Below are 11,169 nucleotides of genomic sequence, written 5' to 3'. Positions count from 1 at the left end.
CCCAGGCTCAAGCCACCCTCCAGCTTCAGCCTCCCAAATAGCAGGGATTACAGATGCCTGCCACCAGGCCTGGCCTCCCAGGAGAATGCACCTGCTGCTGCTGTCCCATCTGCACACTCACACCATGGCTGGCCCACAGAGTGACATTTCCCCACCACAGCACAGGCTTTGGCAGCTTAGAAGCAGACAAGGGCAAAAGACTGAATAGTGTCTTCCCAAGATTGGAAACAAGGCTCAAATGTCTACCTTTTTAAAAAATATATTTAATATACAACTGAGGTTCTACCCAGTGCAACAAGGCAAGAACAAGAAGTGAAAAGCATAAGTTTTGGAAACGAAGAAGTAATGTCGTGTATATTCACAGACATTGTGATTTGTGTACATAGAAAATTCTAAGAAATCTAGAAAAATACAACTAATGCATGAATTTAGCAAGTATACAGGATACAAAACCAATATGTAAAAATCAGTTGTATTTGTATATACTCACAAAAAACAATTGGCAACTGAAATCTTAGAAACATTTTTTATTTTAAATATTTTAACAAAACATTTAAACATTTTATGTAAATCATTTATATAAATCTTGACAACCCCTGACCCAGTTACTGTGGTCCTGGGCATGAGGTATTCTGATTGGCCAGGCCAGGGTCTTGTGCACATCCCTGAAGAGAGGCAGTGGCCATGTCATCCAGACCACTGGCAATGGATTCCCCACAGAAATGAGAGTTTTTTTTTAACCAAAGGCCGTATGCACCCTGGGTGTGGGCCTGACCCATACATCCAACATACCTGTGTATCTTAGTTTCTAGGGCTACCATGATATAGCACCATGAACTGAATATGAGATCACAGAAATTTATTCTCTTACACTTCTGGAGCTAGAAGTCCAAAACCAAGGTGTTGCAGAGCCACGCTCCCTCCAAAGCCTATAGGGGAAGGATCCTTGTTTCTTCCAGCTTCTGGGAGCCCCAGGAGTTCCTTCCCTTGTGGCCACATAACTCCAATCTCTGCCTCCATTCCCAATGTAGCCATCTTCCTAGGTCATCTTTGTCTCCATCAGTTCCTGGTCCAAAGTTCTCAAGTCTCTGACGTGGCTTCTGGTAGTTTGAGGGTATCGGAGTGTTTATGTGTATATGAATGTGTAATTGGAGAGATGGGGGAATGAAGAGGAAAGAACTGCCAAAAAGCATAAACGCTGTACCAGAGACAGAGAGAGAGAGAGAGAGAGAGAGAATAAAGATATGAGCACAGAGGCCTCCTTGAGTTTGCAGCATCTGGGAGGCTCTGCTCAGTAAGTTCAGCTGTGTCTCTGTGTCCAAATTCCCCTCTTCTTTCGAGGACACCAGTCACATTGAATTAGGGCTCTCCCACCCTATCCCAGGATGACTTACTTTTTTTTTTCATTGTTGCCATTACCTTTATTTATTTATTTTTTTTTTTATTATCTTAACCAGTTTACATCTGCAAAGACCCTATTTCCAAATAATGTAGATGGCAGATGAGACTTGAGCATATATTTTGTGGGGGGACATAGTCTAACCCATAACACCAGGTCTCCACCTACATTAAAGTGTATCTGTGAGGATGTTTAGTTGTACATGCATCCGGGCTTGCCATCACAGAGGTCCGTGTGGTGGCCCTGTGGAGCACACCTCCATGCCCTGTCTGTGTGGACCTGTGCATTGGGTTTATATCAAACATGGAGGTTTCTTTAGTACGTGTCTGGTTCGCTCCCCGCCGTGTTCTAAGACTCCTCACCTGCCTACAGGGTGCTGTGCTCATACGCAAAACCAAGGGTTTTCAATGACTTTCCACAAGTAAAGAAGTTATTTTCTGACACATTTCTTCCTCCAATTATATATTTACCTCCCCCAGTGGCTTACTCAGGAGCAAAGACAAAAGGCTCAGGACTCAGGCTGACTCAGGACATGCGCACACACACACACACACACATACACACTTACTTTCACAAGGACCCCACAGTTCTTCTTGAGTGAGATAAATATATGCAAAATGCCTCACAGCACCGCAACCACTAGAGTCTTCTCCTCTAGAACTGCATGTACATTTAAATGCACAAACAACATCTGAAAATATTCTTTGCAGATAAAAATCCCAATAATAACTCATCCCCCCACCCCTCCAAGATTACTCTAAGGTTGCCACTGATTTCCCCACTGGCAAGAGGGAGCAAATAGGAGGCAGGAATAGTATAGTCTTCTTGCCTGTCCTGATCCCAACTCCTCCAAGAAATGGGGTTTCACAGACTGAGTCTGCGGACCCAGAATCATTGGGGCAATCATTCTGTCTGACCTAGAAGTAACTGGACAGGAATCTGAAAAGCAACAGATCCCCTCTGCCTCTTTTTGGTGAAATATGGTTTATCAAAGTGGGCAGAAAGGTTGAGGCCATATATCAACCTTCCCATTTTACAGATGGGGAGACTGAGGCCATGGAAGTCATTCAGCATTGCCTTCACTCACAGATCCAGTGTCTCCTGCCTCCTGGTCCAGTATTCTTTTCCCATCCCCTCCTGTCTCACCTCCTGCCCCCATCTTTTTAGACTTTGGGAACAGCAGTGGTGAAGAGGGAGGATAAAGGGAAGATTATTCCATGTCCAAGGAAGGTTAGCAGGAGAGAGCCACAGAAGAGCATCTTGTAAGGTACTGAAATCCAGCTGAGGCTTCCTCCATAACCCAGACTTCTCCCCCAAAAAGTTCCATGACATCTGCTGGCTGCCTGGCCTTCGCGGATCTATTTAACCCAGAGACACTGTGATCGCTCATGTGCTTTGATCCTGCAGGCGCCGGCAGCTTTTTGTTCTATTATTCACTGCAGGGTGGATGCTGAGTTGTCTCTCCTTATTACAGGCAGTGGTTGGGCTTCCCACCGCCTCCCCAAGGCCACTGGGTGATAGCCATCAATAAGTCAGTAGCAGCGGCTGGCTTTGAGATGCCTTTTGGGAAAGGGATTTGTACCATTTCAGAATCATCGTTTTCTACAAGCATCCTTTTTGGGAGAGATCTGGGGAGAAAAACAATTAGCATAACAATTACAGAAATCCATGTAAAGATGCTAAGAGGAATACCTTATCTGCCCAGCTGGTGGCAGCTTTTGAAGACAGACCCCTGCCTTTATATCTGTGTGCCCTGCACAGCATCTGGCACATAGTGGGGCATCCTCTAATGTTTATTTAATGACCCAGTGTATGAGTGAACATCTCTTCTCAAGCCTCAAACCCATTCCCTTCAAAAACAAGAGGAAAAGAGGCACTGAGTATCATAAAAACTTTTAACCATGTGGCATTCTGGATAAATCTGTTTATTTGTTTATCCACAATCTCCCCACACACACACTACAAGACACAAGCTCTATACGGGCACTTTGTATATGCCTAGCACCTACAACAGTGCCTAGCATACAGTAAGTCCTCAGGAAACGTGCAAAAAATGAATGAACTGGATGTCAGGAGACCTGGGAACGAATTCCAGCTAAGTTACCAGCTGGCTGAGTGACCTGGGCCAGTCACTTCTCTCTGGATCTCAATTTGCCCCCTGTGTGGCAGGAGCATTGTGCCAGATCTACGATAGAATCAATCACCTAGTCTAGACATTTCTTGAAGAACATGGGACATTGTGTCACCCTACCAAATCCATGCTGTGAGCCTTCCAGATCCATGTTCTGTCCCCGACTTCTTCCTCCACAGTCATGAGGTGCTTTGACAATCTATACAGATGCAATGTGACGGGGTCACACAGAAAAATCCCAGGGGCCTGCAGCCAGAGGGAATGTGTGGAGGCTACGGAAAGGAATATCCTTGAACGGAATGCATGACTTCTGCAAGAGTCATAGCTTCATTTCTGCACTTGCTCTCCTCTCACCAATAATCCAGGCACAGAAACCCTCCCCCGCCCTCCTCCCTCGGGGGCACAGGATAATGTTGATGGATGGGATGGAGTCTGGAGCTGAGAGGGCATGGAAAAGAGGGGAGCCCTCCTTAGCAGACCGTCTTGGGGCACACAGGTGGAATGATCGAGTAGCCAACATGCACTTCAGCAAGGGCAGAGTGATGTTTTTCATGACTAATCTTCAAACCCCGGACGAGAGGAAACACATTCCAAAGCGACTGCTTGAGACAAGAACAGGGTGGGACGCAAAAAGTTAACTGAGAATCAGGAGATAGGAGAAGACTCAGCCACACCCAGCCAGTGAAGATGAATTTAAAGAGAACTCTATGTAGTGCGGCTCCCTGGGTGGAACAGAACATATGATTCTCGTGCCAGAGTGTGGGTTCACCCCTCTCGCCTAAACCTTCCGTTGTGAGGTGTGCCCTTCAGACAGTTATGCTTGGGTGGGCCCCGAGCAACCCCGCCACCCTCCACTCTCACCGCCCCCGCACGCTTGCAGAAAGCCAGCCTTTCTGGAATGGTGACTCGTCGGGGTGTACGATGTCTTCGTGGGGTGGGCAGAAGGGATGGTATTCCCTGTTTGCAGCCCCTGGGGTGGCAGGCGTATGTTGGGCCTAGCTGGCTCCTATTTCTGAGTCTTGACACCTCCCCCGCTGCCTGCCTCCTCCTCCTCCTCCCTCTCCCCTGGGCCGCCGAGCTGTTTGGCCCGCGGTGCCCCGCTCAAAGTCAGGGCCAAGGCCAGGGGAGGGGGCAGGCGGTGGTTCCCAGCACTGCCCTCACCTGATATTTACTTTCCAGGCTGTTGACTCCCAAACAATACAGTGCACGCCGATTTGCAGGGTACCTTCCGTCTACTTTCCCAGTAAACCACTCCCACCAAGCAAACACGCAGGGTTCCCCTGGCCCGCGCGGACCTGGAAAAACACAGCGCTTGGCTGGTCTCCCTGGCTGGCCGGACCCGCCGCCTTCCGGCCAGCGCACCTCCGCTGCGTGGAAGCGGCCGTGCCATGGCGCCTTGCGGCCACGAGAGGGCAGCCGCGGGCCGCAGAAACACCACCGCGCCCGGCTTCCCGAGCCTGCGCCTGCGCAGACCCGAGGCCGACCCGAGGCGGTCGCTGGCCAAGCGCCCGGCCAGCGCTTCCGGCTGCCGAGGCTGCAGCCTTCAGTGAGCTGTGGCTCTGCCGCCCCGGGAGGGAACAAATGGCGGATTTCAGGCCTCCGGGCCATGCAGCCTCCCTCTGAGGCCCCAAAGGCGCGATAGAGGCGGTGAGATGCGGCTGGAGCTGGGAACGAATTCCCCGGCCGGCTGGGAGGCCGCCCAGCCCGGTGCGCTGACCGCACTCGCCTTGCTTTCACCCCTCGGGTCGCCTCTCGCACCTCGCAGCCGAAAGCCCCTCCGCTGGGTCACGTTTCTCCATCCCGCTGCAGCCTGAGCAAGGTCGCCTTCATCCTTTACAGACAGAAGTTCCTCTACCCGGAGGCCCGGAGCCTGGGAGAGGGCCACTGGGAACGTCGCATTTGCAGAGCCCCAGTAACCGGGCTGTGGACCGTCTTCTTACTGCTTGAAGTTTCAGGCTCAGAGCAGGAAACGATTCCAGAGCTCAGCCAGGCACCGATGAGAAGAAAAACAGAAGCAGCACATTGCCCAGGGCCATGGAGCTTGCCAGTGAAGAGCAAACCAGGCCACGTAGGGCCGCTGCTTGGGACCCTGTCCTGGCACCCCCAGCTCTTGGAGAAAGTCAGCGCTCCCAAGGCCTCCAGGCCCGCCAGCATCGTCTGGCCCTGACTGCTCTCCACCATACCCCACTCTCCACTGCAGCTCTTCCCCATGTCCCGGCTGTGCACATCCGGCTCCATGATCCCAGCCGCGCCCAGCTTCACTCTCTGCCCAGCAAACTCTTGCTTGTCTTCTAGGTGTTGGCTTAGAAAACATTCTCCCTGCAAAGTTTTCTAGGCGTTCCCCGCACCTCTCACACAACCCTATGCAACACTGTATTCCAGGGTAGCCCACACAGAACCTCACCTGCTTGTTCACTTATCTGACCCAGAATACGAAAGGCCCACACTAGGTCTTAATTAATATGTCCCCTACATCCCAGCTGCCCCATCCAAGTCCCCAATTTCTGGGCCCATGTACTTTTTACCGTGTTGCCCACTGGCCCTTTCACTATTGTAACTAAAATAAGCAGATTTATGGCCTAGAAGACTCTATGCTTCTACGTCAGAACAAGAGCCTGCTCTTTTCTAATTCCTGGGAGAATATTATGACAATTCTTGCTTCTGAAGCCTGGAGAATAATTTCCAACATGACAGTCTCCCTACTTCTGTGGTCCGGAGGGTACTTTCTAACTTGAGTTATTCTCATTATTCCACTCAAGAGAAGTAACTGCAAAACAGGTGTTAAACCATGCAGTAGGATTTACAGAGGTTGAGGGACTCCATGAGTCCACTTGAACCAGAGCAGCACGATTTTTATTTTTTAGGTAGGAATTTCTTTTGGGGGGAAAATAAGGAGCCAAGAATTCTATTAATGCTTTAAAAATGTTTTAAGTGGGAGGAGGGTGAAGGGACAAGCAACTCTACTTTCTGCTCAATATTGCTGTGAACTAAAATTTTTCTAAAAAATACAGTTGATTGATTTATTTAAAAAATGTTTTAGATGTCACTACACTAAAGGATTATAAAGTAGAGCAGCTGAAGAGCTGTGGACAATTGTTAACAACTAATCATTTCCAAAGGCTGTACCTACATTCCCAGTGAAGCACATATCATAACTTCTCAACCTAGGGAGCCTTTCCCTTCCCTTTTATGTGGAGTCTATTTATTGTCACCCATTGTTTCTTCTTCCCTGACACCAGGGAGTCTGATTTTTTATGGGTGTAGTTAGGAACTGAAAGTTTGTTTCTTTGTTTTTTTTGGTTTTTTTTTTCAGAATTTGTTACATTTATAGAAAAAGTTGCTATGTTACTTATTTGAAGAAGAGTTGAAGCTTTTATATTTCTCTTTTAAAAATGTTTTGTTTGAGGCCCTAGGGTTTTTGTTTTTTGATAAATGCTCCCTCCGACTCAAAGATGTCCAGGTGTTAATCCCTGGAACCTGTGAAACGGCTACCTTACAAGGCAAAAGGAACTTTAAAGATATAATTATATTAAGATTCTTGAGATGGGGAGAAAACAGTGTTAGGGAAAGAAGGAGATGTGTCCACAGAAGCAGAGGTGGCAGTGATTCAATGTGAGAAAGACTCGGCTGGTCACTGATAGCTTTGAAGATGGAGAAGGGGCCGCAGACCAAGGAATGCAGGTGGCCTCGAAAACCTGGAGAAGTCAAGGAAACAGTCTCCCCCAGAGCCTCCAGAAGGAACAGTCCTGCTGACACCTTGATTTTAGCCCAGTGAGACACATTTTGGACTTCTTACATCCAGAACTGTAAGATAACAAACGTGTGTTGTTTTAAGCCACTACGTGTGTGGTTATCAATCACAGCAGCAATAGGGAACTAATACAAACACACTCCAAAGGAAAAAAAATCCTGCCATAGATCACGCAGGTGGTAAGAAGGAAGCTAATTGTAGAGGGGAGACAGATTGGCTAGAGCCATTGTGGAGAGGAGTTCTTGCAATAGTAGTAGAGGTCACCCAGATAGACCTGTATATATTCTTTGTTATTACAAAATCAGTATGAGTTGGCACCACGCGGGCATATTGGTGGAGCATTTGCATGCCCTGTTTTATATTTTAACTGTATGGCCATTCATATTTCCCCTGCTAGCCTGAAAGTTTCCAAGATGGCATTCATCTTTGTATTCCTGTTGCCTGCAATGGCTTCTATGAATAATACCATCTTATGTTTATGAGGCACTTCACACTTCCCAGAGCACTGTGTGGCCATTATCCATTTTGAGTCTTACCGCAACTCTTGTGGGGTCAGGCAAGACTGGTGGTGGCATTATCAATAGATTCCATTTTACAAAAGACTGGCACCCAAATTTCTCTGACACCCAGGCCCTCCTCTCCCCAAGAGTCCACTCATTTTCTCTGCAAAGTGAATTCTAAACACAGATGAGAAAGTTGAGGCACTGCTGGCGTCCTAAGAGCTCAAACTGGGCCCCAGGGTTCTCGAGTTACTGTACAGACCTTCTTGGTCTTCTTCCCACTCTGAGCACAGGAGAAAATCCTCTTGTGCAACTGGTAGTGGAGGAGAAATGCCACAACAGTGACACCACCTTGTCTCTCAAGGACATTGAGCAGTGTGGGGTAGAAATGAGGATGGGAAGGGTCCAGGTGGGGGTGGTGTGCAAGGCTGACCCAGGGGTCCCCAGTCCCAGACCCTACCTCTTGCACTCTGACCCGCCTAGGGAAGCGTGGCTGAGGAGGTAGGGAGAAAGAAAGGTCATGCTTTCAGCCTGGACTTCAGGACGTGGCCTGAGGACAGGTCAGAAGAGAATGGTATCCGTCACCATCTTACAGTTTTAAAATTCTTTGTATGGCGTCAATGTTCTCACTTACCGAGAAAGTACAGTCTCTGGAGTTAGAGACAGGTTCAAGTCATAGGTCTCCACTTACCAGTGGTGTAACCCTGGCAAGTCACTTTCCTTGGGTGAGATCCCATTTCTCCATCAGCAGAATATGGCCTGTAAAATCGTTGGAAAGATAAAAATAACATACGTAAAGTACATGGAAAATAATAAGCACTCAAATGGTAGCTATAGTTATTTATAACCAAGAAAACAGGGGGAGTGGATTTCTCCAGGTTGGACAGCTGATAATTGGTGGAACCAAAATTCCAAACTACTCCCCAGAAGCTTCAGTTCCTTATCCCAAGGCCCCTCTGCTCCCCGGAAACTAAGTCTCATACTTCTGTAGCCAGGTGCGACCCTCCAAGGCAAATCTCTGCCCACCGACTCACAGAGAGGGAACCCCCACCAAGAACCCGCTGGAAGCCTGGCGCCACACAGCTGCACTATCTGGAACCTCGCGCGACTGCAGCCCTGGGGGGCGCGCCCGGAACCGAAATGGCTCAAGAGACTTGAGGACCGGCGCGTCTCCTTTCTCCGGCCCCAGTCCCCAACTCCCGCCACAGCGCAGAGGGGGCAGTGCGGTGGGAGGGGGGGAGTTGTGGGGCTGGGGCTCCGGCCTGGCCGGTGAAGCCCCAGGACCCGTCCGCTTGGGGTTAAGGCAAGGGGTGCGGCACGAGGAGCGCAGGGAGCCCCGAGTCCCAGGCGCAGACCCAGCTGCGGACCCGCCGTACAGCCCTGGTGTTGCAAGCGTGGACCGTGGGCGTAAGGCCCCGGCGGGAGGCACTCGGCCCGGCCGCGGCCGGGTCTGCAGGGTCCTGGCGCAGCGGATCCCGGCGCGCCCTGGCCCGCGGCCCGCAGGGTTCAGACGGGGCCGAGACAGCCAAGCCCGGTTCGCTCGCGCCAGGCGCTGGAGCCAAGGCTGACGGGCGGTTCTGAATCATGTTTGGAGGAGCGGCGCGGCCCCCAGGGCTCCGCTGAGACGCGCTGCAGGGCTGTCCGGGCCCTCCCTCGGCGACGCGGCCAGCAGCCCGCGCCGCGTCCTCAGCGGCGGCAAAAACTAGGAGTCCCGGGGCTCTGCCGGGCGCCGGCACTGGAGGGCAAGAGATGCTGGCTTCCCCCGGGGCTCATCACCCCGGGGTTCCACAGCACTTACGTGGGATGGGGACCCCGGAGTAGACCACGGACGGAAAGGAACGGTGGTTTCATTCTCTGCAAAAGAAATCCTCGCGCGCACACGGGTGCCCCGGGCCAGGCAGACCTCCAGCAGAGGCGCCCAGGTGGGGCGTGCAGAGCTTCTGAAAGTGGGCACCTACTTTAGGAGGCTGGCAAGCACAGAGAGCCCAGAATCACCTGTGCCGAGCCCTCAAGGGGGCCTTCTCACAGCCCTGATGTGCCCCCTTACTGCGATTAAGGCTGTTTGCGAGTCCTAAAGAGCTTGCGTTATGCAGGGCACTTTCAACCAACCATTCCTCTATGTACAGCAACCTGTGAAGCTGGCAGGACCAGTACCTTTATTCGTTTTACAAGTGAGAAAGCAAAGGGGTGGGAAAGCCCTAGGGTTCTGTGCCCGACTGCCTAGTCAGGCCCTGCCAACCAAAGATTGAAGTCCGTTCTTTCTCTCTCCTGCCAGGAGGCGAAGAAGTGTCCACCCTGTCTATTGAGAGGCCTCTACTTTAAGAATTAAGCCAGGCAGTCGCTGCTGTGTGGAGGGGTGTTGACAGCAAGTGACAAGGAAGCAAGTCTTTATCGCAGGAAAAATTACTTAAGTGGACTCCTTAGCAGCCTCCTTTCCATTTGGAATGAAGATTAGCACCCCTAGCCCTAGAGCTGTGATTCTCAAAGTGTGGTGCCCAGACTAGCAGCAGAAGCATCACCTGGGAACTAGTAAGAAATGCATCTTAACTGCCCCCTCCTAGGCCTCCTGGATCAGAAGCTTTGAGGTAGTGCCAGCCCAGCAATTTATTTTTTTTGCTTTTCATACATATATATATCTCCACAATGGATGAAAGAGAACAATCATCAAGGATGTAGGTACCAGACACAGGGCAGAAGGTAGCTAGAAAAGTATGCCTGAAGGAAGTTAAGGACCCTAGCCTCATTCCTACCTCGTTTCAATAGGTGGACCTAGCATAAATAGGTTACTTTTCCATTGTTCTAGCTTCCTCTGCCCCATCTACAAACATGGCACAGCTGGCTTGCCTTGCAAGGCCTCAGCTGAAGGACCCCATGTACACACAGGCCAGTACAGCAGTATTAGGATCTAGAAGAATCTCATCCCCATATATGGTCTCACTCCAAGTCTATGGCCGAGTACCTTCATTGTTGTGTGCAAGATGGTGTCATCCCTTGAAAATATGGCCGCTTCAGCATAAAATAGTTAAATCTTTATAATGGTCGATTATCTCATCCTACCCCCTTTTACATGCAGCTGAAAAACGGCAGGCTAGGGACATAGAACATTGTGGACTTTATACTGTTAGAATCGCTGCCCATCAAATGATCACTAGCTAATGGTCACTAAATTTACAAATTAAGGAAATTATCTATAGAATACTGCAAAGACACAGTAAAAAGACTGAAGTTTGCCCATTTCTGCTCAGGAAGTCCCTTCACTCCTAAGCTTCATATGTTGTCCTTTTGAGCCCAGCAATTTTTAAGGAGCCCTTCAGGAGATTCTCTGATGCACAAAGAAATTTTGAAAACCACTGTTCCAGAAAAGCCTGTGTATCAGCTAGAAGCAAGC

The 11,169-nt window shown here is 49.9% G+C and overlaps 1 long non-coding RNA gene across 2 annotated transcripts, besides 5 other annotated features; it reads right to left on the bottom strand.

Moving 5' to 3' along the window:
* Positions 1-512: 512 nt before the first annotated feature.
* On the bottom strand, positions 513-9,664 carry LINC02767 (long intergenic non-protein coding RNA 2767). Of its 2 annotated transcripts, none has more exons than NR_167982.1 (3): positions 9,580-9,664; positions 8,416-8,540; positions 513-3,027 (listed from the first exon to the last, which is right to left on the bottom strand). It is a non-coding gene; the product is annotated as a long intergenic non-protein coding RNA 2767 (long non-coding RNA). The 2 variants fall into 2 exon arrangements; NR_167983.1 differs by having other exon boundaries at positions 513-1,198.
* Positions 3,955-4,484: an enhancer, noted in NCBI's record as "H3K4me1 hESC enhancer chr1:208137516-208138045 (GRCh37/hg19 assembly coordinates)". NCBI's record gives its function as "activates a minimal SCP1, AML or CMV promoter by ChIP-STARR-seq in primed H9 embryonic stem cells {active_cell/tissue: H9 hESC(primed)}" and the evidence as "EXISTENCE:reporter gene assay evidence [ECO:0000049][PMID:30033119]".
* Positions 5,171-5,230: an enhancer, noted in NCBI's record as "active region_2462". NCBI's record gives its function as "activates an Ori minimal core promoter by ATAC-STARR-seq in GM12878 lymphoblastoid cells {active_cell/tissue: GM12878}" and the evidence as "EXISTENCE:reporter gene assay evidence [ECO:0000049][PMID:35858748]".
* Positions 5,291-5,390: an enhancer, noted in NCBI's record as "active region_2461". NCBI's record gives its function as "activates an Ori minimal core promoter by ATAC-STARR-seq in GM12878 lymphoblastoid cells {active_cell/tissue: GM12878}" and the evidence as "EXISTENCE:reporter gene assay evidence [ECO:0000049][PMID:35858748]".
* Positions 9,192-9,691: an enhancer, noted in NCBI's record as "H3K4me1 hESC enhancer chr1:208132309-208132808 (GRCh37/hg19 assembly coordinates)". NCBI's record gives its function as "activates a minimal SCP1, AML or CMV promoter by ChIP-STARR-seq in primed H9 embryonic stem cells {active_cell/tissue: H9 hESC(primed)}" and the evidence as "EXISTENCE:reporter gene assay evidence [ECO:0000049][PMID:30033119]".
* Positions 9,692-10,193: an enhancer, noted in NCBI's record as "H3K4me1 hESC enhancer chr1:208131807-208132308 (GRCh37/hg19 assembly coordinates)". NCBI's record gives its function as "activates a minimal SCP1, AML or CMV promoter by ChIP-STARR-seq in primed H9 embryonic stem cells {active_cell/tissue: H9 hESC(primed)}" and the evidence as "EXISTENCE:reporter gene assay evidence [ECO:0000049][PMID:30033119]".

The sequence above is a fragment of the Homo sapiens genome, chromosome 1, assembly GCF_000001405.40.
Source record: "Homo sapiens chromosome 1, GRCh38.p14 Primary Assembly".
NCBI lineage: Eukaryota > Metazoa > Chordata > Mammalia > Primates > Hominidae > Homo > Homo sapiens.
Note: the sequence above shows the minus strand (reverse complement) of the source record. Positions and strands in the feature narration are given on the sequence as shown.